We start from the raw sequence: 12,855 nt of genomic DNA, 5'->3' as shown, positions 1-12,855 counted from the left end.
ACATATCCATTGCATTACAGCCACGGGATTAGAGGAGGTCACCTGGGAGAATACACAGATTCAGACTCCTGGGATGCTCCAAAATCTGCAGGGCCAATAAAGGGAGAGAATCCAGAAGAGGAAGCTACAAAAGTATGTCCTCTTTTGTAGGGGAAACCAGAAGGGTTTCTCTGGCGGGTGCCAAGAGAAGAAAGGATGATGAGAACAGAAGCCAACTATATTGAATGTCCCTGGAAGGTCAACCTGATAAGAACTGAAATGTGATGACAGGATTGAAGTGTAGAGCTCATTGCTTTACCAAGAGCAGTCTTCAAGTGTTGGCTCACGGAAGAGTATAAAATAAAGAAATGGAGACCAGGGTGATAAGAAATTCTCAATGAAAATTTCTATATAGAAAAATGGGGTAGTAATCGCAGGAGGGTGTGAGGACAGGTTGGTTGGTTTGCTAAAGTTAGGGAATACTAGATTTAGTGATAGTTCTCAAAGGTGCAGAAGAAACTTCCCAGGCAAGGGACATTTGGAAACATGTGGAGTTACTTTTGTGTTGCCGCAATTAACCGGGGCGTGCCTCTGATACTTACTGGGCTGCAGGTGGAGCCGAACATCCCACGGAGCTTAGGAAACCCTCTCATGAGGAAGAATTGCCTGCCTTCAGTGCACTGAGTCCATTTTTGTGCTCATGTTAATGGTCTATCTTGGGCTGTGATTTTCTTTGGGTCTCTCAGCAAAACTGTCTGAGGCATCACATGATGTTATTTGCCATCTAAAAGGACTTCACCGAACCTTTGACAGTTCTGGATATGACTTTGATTAGTCCACCTTATGTCACCTGTATTCTGCAGAATCAATCACTGGAACAAGGGGAGTGCCAGGCACAGATTGGCTTGCATCATCCCTGAACCAATCATTTGACCAATGACAAGGAGGATGGGGCTGTGCTGATGAATGACATTGCTCTTCTCAGTGCAGGAGGCGGAATGGCTGCTTGAGGAGCAGCCAGAATCATTTAAGAATCATTAATTATTGATATTGACTACTATATTTATGAAGTTTATACCCTGGTCAGACTTGGTAAATAAAATTGTCTTAAAAGAAATATAAGGGCCCATCCACCAATAACCCTTTCCCCTCTTCCCACCCATTCACTTCCTTACTCTCTGGGACTTCTCAACCCTGGTTAGGGATATCATAAAAAAGGAATCTGGATATATCTCATTATGTTTTTTGTTATCAGTGCATTATGATGTTGATTGATAATACACATGATTGATAATGTTTACTGGTATGTTGTTTGTTTCTGATACTATATTATACGTCATCAAAACAATTATTAAAACAATGCATTTCCAAGCTTTTCATATGTAATTAAACCTTAGAAAGTAGAGGTGAGCCATATTCTCTATCATATCTCTTGGTCTCTGGAAGTTTTCTGTCCACCAAGAGGAGCAGAATCCAGAAAAATTGGCTACTTTATTTAGTATTTACCCACATCCTATCTAATCTCCCTTAGTTACCATGCAAGCAAAGGACACTGCTTTCATTAGCTCTACCTCCTCTAGGTGCCTAGAATAGGGAACTATTTTTGGAGCACACACTTGCCCAGCACTAGGAGGATAGGCCCTGTACTAGTCTCTTTCTGAGATTTTCTAATACATCCATAATCTCAATAAATCTTGTGTAACAGACATTGGTGTTGCATCCCTTATACCGATTTATTAGATCAGGAAGCTAACAGTCAAGGTGGCCAGGTAACTTGTCATAAAATTAGCAAGCGTTACAACCAGCATTCAAATTTCTCTTTATGTAGCTCTAAAGACGTTCTGCCTTCTGTGACTTTAAAGAGGTAGTAGGTGGGGAGAACTGGGTACTTCCTTCCACTCCTGTTTTGGAAATCATGGCTGGAGTTCAGGGGCTGGTACAGATGGGACATGACATGTTTCCCACATATGTCAGAAAAAGGTTGAGACCCACTCAAATCACATTACTGCCATTCAGCACTAGCCATTTTTCACATAATGGCACTTGATTATGAACTCAGTGAGTTTCTTAAGATGTTTTTTCTTATTCATGCGAATGTTTTAGTTGGTCAAATATTATGTATTTGGTTTATCTTTCCATTTTAAATTTATATTGTATGTTAGATTTACTGTTAAAAATATTCATATCCGTAGTATTTATGATTTATCTAAATACTGTAACTTTAAATCTGTAACTTTTCTATTATAGAAAAAACTTGTATATACTTAGGATTTCAGTAGTTGGACAGAGGTATCTTTAATATTTTTTGCAGTTTCCCTTTACAAAAAAACTCTCATCCTTGCAGTAGGAGTTCCATGATTTGAACCCCTGGAGCAAAATCATAAACTTAGGATCTCCTGGAATTTTTATCTGGTTTTATAGCAGCTTTGGCACAAATTCCAGCCACTTCTTCCCACATTCCTTCCTATGGTGTTTTACTTTAAATCTATTCTCACTAGTAGAAAATGAAATTTAGAACTGGGGTCATATCTTTTGTCCCTATAGCCCCTAACTTGTCATGTGTCTTTTCTGATGAATTGGTTGTCTTATGGTCTCTGATCTGAGGATGCTGTGAAGATACCTCAGGGCTTCCAATACATTTTTATTTCTTCCCCTCTATTTTCAAAGGCGTCAAATGAAATTGACTTAAAAGTGTATCAAAAGCACCTTTTCCTCCGTAATTAGTATTTTTCATGAATTTTCTTTATTTGGAGCACTTTGTCACTGGTCGTCCTTCCTTTTTCTAAACACTTTCCGTGCTGGTCAGAGATGTCAGGCCTTTGTTCTTGTGGTGCCATCTGGACCACCTGCCCTCACTGGAGTGTCACGTCTGTTTTGGGGCCCATGTTGTTCATGGTTATTGTTCACGGTCCTTTGCTCTTAGCTCCTCACTGGAGCTTTTATTTATTTGTACTGCACACCCATATAGGGAATATCTGATTTATGTCATAAAGCCTTTTTATTGTTATCTTTTTAATCATGAGGGATAGAAATGTGGACTTTTTTTTTTTTTTTTTTTTTTTTTTTTTTTTTTTTTTAGACAAGGTCTCTGTCACCCAGGGTGACTGAGTGCAATGGCACAACCATAGCTCACTGAAACCTCTAATTCCTGGGCTTACACAGTCATCCCACCTCAGCCTCCAGAGTAGCTGGGACTGCAAGTGCACGCCACCACGCCCTGCTGATTGTTTAAAAAAATTTTTTGTAGAGATGGGGTCTCACTTTGTTGCCCAGGCTGGTCTTGAACTTCTGGGCTCAAGTCATCCTTGCCCCTTGGCCTCCCAAAGTGTTAGGATTACAGGCTTGAGCCATTGTGCCTGGCCTGGACTTTTCTTCTGAGATGGTTTCAGGAAGCCTATTTTAGTAGAAATGGAATGAGCTTTAGAGTTAGATTGAAATAAATTTGAAACCCAGTTCCATTAGAAAGTAATTAATGTCCTTAGAAAAGTGGGTCCCATTCCCTGTGCCTTCGTTTATTATTCTGTAAAATAAGGATAATAATAGGGACCTGACCAGATCACTGGGAGGCTTAGAAAAACCATATGAGAGCACAATGTCTGGCACATAGTAAGTGCCTGATTATTATTGGCATTGTAATGATTATTATAATTATGATGAGGTGGGTCATCTCACATTGGTATTGAGAAATAATTAGCTATAGTACTACATTTAAAGGAAACACAGCAGTAAATAAACAATAACACTTGCCCTTGAGGAGTTTGTTATCTTTTAAAGAAGGCAAAATGTATATCAAAAACAGCTAAATGTCCATTATTTTTAAATGTTACAAGACGATAGTTTTAAATACTATAAATATTATTTAATGAACCGAATAATATGGTCTGTGGTTTATTTATGTTTTCAAGATAAGGGAACTGAGACCTAAAGAGGGAGGTTAATAGATTGACCCCTAGCATCCTAAGCCAATTAAAGGAGTCTGTGGGGATTTTTCATAGGTCTTCCTAATGCTTCAGGATGTTCTTTTAACCCGTGTGCTATCCTGCTTCCATGAGGAATGTGGTGAATATTAAAAGACATATATAGTAAATGCCACTGGTGCCCTGAATAAGGAAGATCAGGCTTTTGCAGTAGCTGATAGCCAGAAGCTTCTTGGGGGAGGTCACATTTGAAGTGGGCCATGGAGGTAGGCAGGATTTCAATAGGAAGAGGAGAAGGAGGGAGGTCATGAATAAAAGCAAGAAGTTGTGTGCAGCAGTTTTTTGTGATTTTTTTTTTTCTGGGAGCATTTAGTTTAAAAGAGTACACATGGAGATTAATGAAGAAAATGCTGGAATGTAGGTTTGTGCTAGATGAAAGGGATCTTGGAGTCTTTCCTCACCAGCCGACAGTGTGAGACTTAAAGGATTTGAGTGGTGTGACATAGCTCTGTATTAATAAGGCTCATTTTGCAGAACTATGTAGGGCCTTTTGGAGGTGATGGCGTGGATCAAGACTCCAGTTGGGGGCTATTATGAGACTCTAGAAAAGATGTGATGAGAGCGTGACTTCAAGCAGTGAGAGAAAGAATGGAAAGTAAAGGGCAGTGAGAGACGCTGAAGAGGTGGGACAGCAGGTGCAGTGAGAAGACGGCATGCAGACAGACAGACTAGAGGATGCAGCCTGGGTCTCACGGGGAACAGTGGCTTCAATAAGACAAATGGTGTCACTAGTGTCTCCACCCCCTCCCTGCCAAAAAGAGGGCAAATAATTGTCTTCATAGACCCAGTGGAGCATTTTGGCCAGGACCACCCAAGTCTAGGGCTCTGAGCCATAGCCCCGAGTGGGTCTTCACTCTGGTCTATAGAGCAGCTTAGATTTTTTTCCATTGCTATACCTTGAGTGCTAACACATCGCCTCCTATTTTTATTAAGAGGGTCACTGTGGAGGGAGTGTGAGTGTGTACATGCTGTCAGAGCTGAGTCTTTTCAATAAACTCATGGGACTCTTTCAATTCCAATCAAGCAAGTGTCCTGCTCAAGTCTCTCTGTTTCCCAGGATGGATGTCAAAGGGAGAATGCAATTTTGGTTTGCAGGTCACTGACGAATATATGAAAGGGAAATCTCGTGGGTAACTAACTCTGTTTTTCCCAAATATTGCTCTATAGCATTAAGTTTTTTGTTGTAAGTGAAAGAAAATATATACCATTCACTGAAGGGCTGCGAGGGGTAAATCGGTTGAGAAATGTTGCTATCACCATTTAAGGGCTTCGAGTGATGCTCACTTTCTCTTCTCCCTTCCAATTTCCTTGGTCAGTGTTTGTCAGGTTCAACTCCAGCCATGGTTTCCCAGTGGAGGTCGATTCTGACACCAGCATCTTCCAGCTCAAGGAGGTGGTTGCTAAGCGACAGGGGGTTCCGGCTGACCAGTTGCGTGTGATTTTCGCAGGGAAGGAGCTGAGGAATGACTGGACTGTGCAGGTGAGTCTCCCTTGGCGGCCGTTCTTGGGATGCCGCCAGCTCCATTGCTCATGCCGCCTGCGCTGCCAATCTGACATTCATGCCTGAGATCTAATAGAATAAATAGTGCCTGGGGATTCCTTGAACTTTACTCCACACTGCTTCATTAATTCTGACCTTCTTAATTATGCATTAAAACAGCAAGCAGGAAAGATTGGAAGAACAACTGCGAGTGAGAAAGAGAGAGAGAAAGAACACACGAGCTAGGCTTAGTGAATAAATGTCTACTGACTACAGGAGCAGCAAGGCACAATTTCTGTGTCTGTTCAATTTCTACCTTACTTATTCCATTTGAATCTTAACGAAGAAGGATTCGAATAAATTGTTCCCAATCAGGCTGCTCAGTCCCTGCACTGTGAGGAATTTGTAACCCAATTGTGACCCCTGGAGGTTAGTGAGGGCTGCTGCTATGCTGCGCTAGAGGAGGTGTGGGCTCCGGGGCCCATTGGCAACTAGCTTTGGGCACTCCTTGGCCAGGACCAGAATCGCACAGTTCTGCAGCTGATGGGGAAGGAAGCCTGGAGCACAACAACAGTATACCTTTGCATGAATTTCTCCAAGGTTCAGTAACATTGTCCCTGGAAATAGGCCCCTGCAACGTAATAAGTGTGAACGATGCTCTCTTCTCTCCTGGCCCCAGCAGAGCTTCTGGCAGCCCACTGCTCCTAGCCCCATGAAAGCCCTACACACATGTCATTCGGATTGGTGATTTTTGTAGGAATTAGGGGGACTGGTGAGGTGACTGATAATACCACCATCACCTAGAACTAGAGACCCGTCCTTTGTTGGGGAAACTCGCAAATACAACTCAACATTTGTTGACGCTATTCTTTGTGAATGCAAGAAAGACGAAACGCTTTCTGGGAATGGTCCCTGTGACTGTGAAGGACCCTGCAGATGTATGTTCCCCTTTTCTTAACCAGCATCAATTAATTGCACTCAGGTTTACAGCTGTGTGGGTATCACTGCTCCGCGCAGGGGGGCTCCTGGGTCAGAGTACACAAAGTCCGTCCTTGTATCTGCATCCTTTCCCTGTCTCTTGTGGGTAACGATATTTATGGCTTTGTAAAATGCTCTCAGAATTTGGGTATACAAAGAAGCTACAGAAATGCAAATTGTTCCTGTCATTCTGCATTGCATCTCCTGCTGATGGTGTTGAGGCACATACTCGTTGTGCACAAACTGCTGGCCTCTGCTTTCAGGCAATTTGGTTTTATAAGGGAAGTGCATGTGCTAAAAAGGGTTTTGATTTTTTTTTTTTCTATTTCAGTCAACTAAAAAGATTTTCACTGTATCTGCCAACCTCTAAATCCAAGGATGTTTCCTTCACAAATAAATAATTTTAAAACAGCTCCTTGAATCAAAACATTTTATATTGCCAAAACCTTCAGGTTCTAAACTGCCATTTGTGCTGATTCATAAAACAATTAGCGATTTCATATGTAGTTAGACTAATTGCTTCAGATGATTGACTTTGCAAACATATATGCCTAAGACATGTGTTGATTTATGAGTCTATTTTGACAAACACTTCTTAAGCACTTCCAATGTCCTAGGCTTCTCAGGGGATCCAAAAGAGAGACCTAACTCAGCCCCTGTTTTCATGGAGACTGCTCTTTATTTATGAGCCCTAAAACCGAGAGAAATATTAGATTGAACCATATGGGATTGCCATTTTTACAGGTTCAACAATTTCATGTTGTTCAACCTAATAGCTATAATATAAGAATATGAAACATAACTGCCGTATCGCACCTGAAAATATTATGAAGTTTTAAAGGTGGAGAAAACACATCTGGTTGGAAGTCACCAGGAAGAACTTCTTGGATGAATTGAGTTGAGGTAGGATTCTGTAGATGGAGGAATAGGGGAATGAGCATAGAGAATGCTTGCCAAAAAGGATGGGTTCTTGTTCTTCTAGAACCTGAAGAGAGATGTTGAAGATTGGACAAAAAATAAAATATGGGCTATATTTCACATAACCTTGACTAACTTGGCATTGAAGTTTCATTGGTGGGGAACTAGAGAAAAATGTCATGCCATAGAAGGAAATGGGAAGTCTGAAGACCCGGTTTGGTTGGGGGAAGGATGCTGCATTGTTCCAACATGATGGGAGTTGATGCCAGCTGAGTACGTGTGTTTGGAGATGCCTAGCTGGCTGTTGAGAACTTGTGTCTGAGGACACTGAAAAAGAAAGGTTCATACTTATGGAACTTCTATTAAATCACAGTTAAATGATTTAGGTGCCGAGAAGTTGGCAAACTTTGTTCATAGAAGAGTTTCACTGTAAAGACTAGGAAGTTACACATGTAATTGCAAATTGATGGCTATGTTTTCTTTAAGTGTACAACTGGCAGAATTTTAGCATCCTAGATATTCTTGTATAATCTTAGAACATATGTTTACAACTATTTAGTCAATATCATTTAGTTACCCATTATCATTACAGGTGCTATATTTCACAGTATAAGCACAAAATATCTAATAATAAGTTGCTGCTGAGAAAAAGAAGATGGACCTTCCATATGAGCTACTTAATGCTTCCATTAATGAATGTTAAATATACACCTTGGTGTCCTGAAGAGAAGAAGAGATGGCTGGGGTGGTGTCTATGCTTGCTGGGTGTCTTCCTCCTGGTTTCGTATTCTTTATCATAGGTGATATGAACATATATATTAGCTTATCATGCAAAATGAGATATTGTGAGTATAAAAGAAGACCCTGTCAATAATTATTCCAGGACAAAATTATATGTTGGGAGTGTCCTAGGAAAACTGAGGCAATGGTCACCCCACATACTGAGCAGTATCTCTCACACTTAGTTTCACCTTCTTTGAGGAGGAAATTAGTTTTAGTGCCTCACCTCAGGTACTTTGGGGAACTATAGCTTGAGACCACAGTCTTATGAAATGTCATAATTTTAAAAAGCGAGTTTGTCTATTTAACTGGCAAAGGGTATTTGTAAGATTATAATAGAATTGATGTCACATCTAAAAAATTTTCATAGAATTTTCAGTTCTGGGAGAGCATATCCACAGGCCACTTAGAGAAGCACTGTTAGAGTATAGTTATTTTCATTACACACTCATCTGTTCAGTTTTGTTATTGGCAAGACTTTAAGAACTTTAAAAAATTAAAGGAAAATGGAAAAAATATAGACATTGAAAACGAATGATCTGGCACAGATTTTGCTTCTGGGAAGCTGGAGTAGGCATACTTTTCCCTCTTCCTCCCAGCAACTACACTAAAAAGCCTAGACATTGCATATTGTACAGTTGACTCGTGGAGTCATGGAGTTAGGGGTGCCAACCGCTATGTAGACAAAACTCATGTATACTTTTATCTCCCCTCACACTTTACCAGTAGTCTGCTATTGACGGGAAGCCTTACTGATACCATGAACAGTTGATTAATACATATTTTTCATATGTAATATGTACTGTATGCTTATAATAAAAAAACTAGAGAAAACATTAACAGCATTACAAAAAGGAGAGAGGATACTTACTATTCATTAAGTAGAAGTGGATCATCAAGATTTTCATTGTCTTTGTCTTCATGTTGAGTAGGCTAAAGAGGAAGAGGAAGAGGGGGAGTTAGTCTCACTGTCTCAGGGGTGGCAGAGGCAGAAGAAAATCTGCATATAAATGGACCCATGCAGTTTCAACCCATGTTATTCAAGGGTCCGCTGTACAAGCTTAGGAAGATTCTGAAAGTAGTGAGAAGAATGTGGACAGAGTAGGGATTTTAGAACCCAAGGAAGAATCCAGAGGTGAATTTCTTGAGTTTTCTTTTTGCTACGTTACCTCAGATGTGGAACTGAAGAAGCTGGCAACCAGGAAATGTCAACATATATAGACAAAAAGAAAAGAGAAGAAAAAAGAAGCAGAGAGGAAGGGAGGGGCAGAGAGAGAGAGAGAGAGAGAGAGAAGGGAGGGGTAAAGGAAGGGGGAAGGGAAGGGAAAAGGAAGAAAGGAAGGAAGGAAGAAATCCCCAACAATGGCCTGTTTTTTATCCAGAGGACTCAGAAAGGGGCTGCCTAGCAACATAGAAAACATTTAGACAATAACCAGTCTACTCCAGCCAAATGCAACAGAAAAACTGCGGCCCTATCCTTGTCCCCACCAACACTAGTAAAGGCTGAGTGGAGAGCCTCTTGTTTGAAATTTCTGAAATAAAACACTCACTGATGGGTTTGACATAAGAATGGAAGGAACAGAGAAAAGAGTCAGTGAACTGGAAGTTGGAACATAGAAATGACACGGTCCAAATGGCAAAGAAAAGGTAGGCTGGAAAAAGAAAAAAGGAATAGAGCCTCAGAGACCTGTGGTTCTCCAACAGAGCATTTAAAGTTTGTGTCAGGGGATTCCTGGAAGGAGAAGATAATGGTGGGCAAATGCTCAAAGAAATAAGTGTTGGAAACTTCCAAAGTTTGCAAGAGACATAAAGTTATAGATGGATTTATAAAGCTGAGTGAATCTAAAACAGGAAAAACCCAAAGAAACCCACACCAACACACAACGTAATTCAACTTCTTAAAACTAAAGACAAATTTTAGATCTTGAAAGAAGCCAGAGAAATATCACACCTTCCCTATAGGGCTAACATTGTTCTAATTACAGTGGATTTCTCATCAGAAACCATGAAGGCTAGAAGGAAGTGGCACAATGTTTTTCAAATGCTGAAAGAAAAGAACTGCCAACCTGTAATATTATACCCAGTGAAAATGTCGTTCAGGAAGAAAGAACAAATCAATACTTTTTTTTTTAGATAAAGAAAAACTAAGCGAATTTGTCACCAGCAGACCTACCCTAAAAGAATGGCTAAAGAAATTTTCTAAACAAATGAAACAACAAAAAAAGGAATTTTGGAACACTAGGAAGGAGGGAAAAACATAGTAAGCAAAAATATGGTTAAATACAATGCACTGTTTTTCTCCTCTTGAGTTTTCTAAATTATGTTAGAGGGTTGCAGCAAAAGTTATAGCATTGTCTAATGTAGTTCTACATGTAGAAGAAACATTTCAGGCAAACATAAACACAGATGCAAGGAAAGGTAAGATTTCTAAACTTGACCTACAAAATAGCAACTGCAGTAGAGCATGACAAGTTAAGAATGTATAAAGAAATATCTAGAGTAATAGGTAAAGTAGGTAAATTAAAATACAAAATAAAGACAACACCAAATGCTGGTGAGGATGTGGAGAAATTGGATTACTCGCAAATTGCTACTGGGAATATAAAATGGTAGAACCACTCTGGAAAAGAATATAGCAGTTTCATAAAAAATGACATATGTATTTACCAGATGACAGAGTTATACTCTTAGTTATTTATCCTAGAGAAATGAAGACGTAGGTACACACACAAATCTGTATATGAATGTTTATAGCAGTTTTATTCACATTAGCAGAACACGGAAACAACTCTGATGTCTTTCAGTGGATCTGTGGTTCAACAAACTGGTACCTCCACACCCTAGAATATTACTCAGCAGTAAAAAAGGAGCCGACTGTTGATATACAAAATATCTTGGATGGATCTCAGGGGAAATGTGCTGTGTGGAAAAAGCCCATCCCCAAAGATCGTACACTGAATAATTTTATTTATATAACATTCTCAAAACGACAAAATGATAGAAATGGAGGGCAGATTCATGCTTCCCAGCAGTTCTGAAGGGGGTGGAAGCAGGTGAGAGGAGGGTACGACTGTGAAAGGGTAACAGAAGGGACCCTTTGGTGACGGCCGTCCTCTGTGCTGACTGTAACAATGCTTATAGTACAATTATAACGTCTAGCTTGGCAAGATGTTACCACTGGCGGAAGCTGGGGAAAAGGTAGCTGGCATCTTTCTCTGCTATCTCTTACAACTGCGTTAGAATGTGTAAGCATTTTAATATAAAGTTGAATTTAAAAAAAACCTAGGATATCTGTCCACTTTCACAGAGGAATTGAAACTATCACTTTCTTAGAAAATAAGCTTGCTATTTGTCTCTCTTTTAAAGGGAGAGTATGTATTCAATGAGTGATATTTAACATAAGAAATGAGAAAAATAATTTAATTGATTAGCAGACACATTTAAAGACTTGTTCATACTAAGAGTACAGGGTGAGTAAAACTTATAGAGACATTAATGCCTCTTTCTTGAAGCCTTTTTTTATTTATTTATTTATTTTTTTTGAGACAGAGTCTCGCTCTGTCGCCCAGGCTGGAGTGCAATGGCACAATCCCTGCTCACTGCAAGCTCCGCCTCCCGGGTTCAAGCGATTCTCCTGCCTCAGCCTCCCGAGTAGCTGGGATTACAGGCGCCCGCTACCACGCCTGGCTCATTTTTGTGTTTTTAGTAGAGACGGGGTTTCACCATGTTGGCCAGGCTGGTCTTGAACTCCTGACCTCAGGTGATCCACTCATCTTGTCCTCCCAAAGTGCTGAGATTACAGGCATGAGCCACCACTCCTGGCCTCTTTCTTGAAGTCTTAAACAGAATTTTTAGCACATTATAGATCTGAATAGACATGATGAGTATTTATTTGCAAACTCTTTACCAAATATTTAAACTAAGCAAAAGTAAATAGTTCTTGACAATTGTGTACTCCAGTTGTACATAGTTTTTAAATTGATTTGTTAGTCATACATTATAATTTTAGGAAATAAATGAGCCAGATCGGGCACAGTGGCTCATGCCCGTAATCCCAGCACTTTGGGAGGCCAAGACAGGCAGATCACGAGGTCAGGAGTTCGACACCAGCTTGACCAACATGGTGAAACCCCGTCTCTACTAAAAATACAAAAATCACCTGTAATCCCAGCTACGTGGAAGGCTGAGGCGGAGAATCTCTTGAACCTGGGAGGCGGAGGTGGCAGTGAGCCAAGATTGCGCCATTGCACTCCAGCCTGGGCCACAAAGAGACTCTGTTTCAAAAAAAAAAAAGGAAACAGATGATCTGCTGTGGTTATAGAGTAAACATTAGTAACATATTTATGTAATAGAATTTAGGGATGTAATGGCTTCATTTCTGAACTAAATTTATTGAAATTTCATGGTTTTTTTTGGTAATTTATTCAAATTTTTTTTTTTTTTTTTTTTTTTTTTTTGGAGATGGAGTCTTACTCTGTCGCCTAGGCTGGAGTGCAATAGCATGATCTTGGCTCACTGCAACCTCTGCCTCCCAGGTTCAAGTGATTCTCCTGCCTCAGCCTCTCAAGTCGCTGGGATTTCAGGCATGTACCACCACACCCAGCTAATTTTTGTATTTTTAGTAGAGATTGCTTTTTCTATTGACTATAAAACAGAAAGAGGCTAGTATCAATTTAGAGCACTGAATACATTTCCACCATGATTTTTTGTTTGTATATAAAAGAATTCTGCAAATGACCAATA

General features: G+C 40.0%; 1 protein-coding gene across 6 annotated transcripts in view; it reads left to right on the top strand.

The window, feature by feature from the left end:
* PRKN (parkin RBR E3 ubiquitin protein ligase) overlaps positions 1-12,855 on the top strand; it is a 1,380,350-nt gene that overhangs the window by 279,021 nt on the left and 1,088,474 nt on the right. For 5 of the 6 annotated variants that reach the window (NM_013988.3, XM_011535863.2, NM_013987.3 and 2 more), the window contains exon 2: positions 5,273-5,436. The exons of the other annotated variant lie outside the window; for it this stretch is intronic. In NM_013988.3, coding sequence (NP_054643.2) covers positions 5,273-5,436 — 164 coding nt within the window. The remainder of the gene's footprint in view (positions 1-5,272; positions 5,437-12,855) is intronic. 6 annotated transcript variants of the gene reach the window in all.

The sequence above is a fragment of the Homo sapiens genome, chromosome 6 (assembly GCF_000001405.40).
Source record: "Homo sapiens chromosome 6, GRCh38.p14 Primary Assembly".
In the NCBI taxonomy this organism is placed as follows: Eukaryota; Metazoa; Chordata; class Mammalia; order Primates; family Hominidae; genus Homo; species Homo sapiens.
This window is presented reverse-complemented; position numbering and strand designations above follow the sequence as displayed.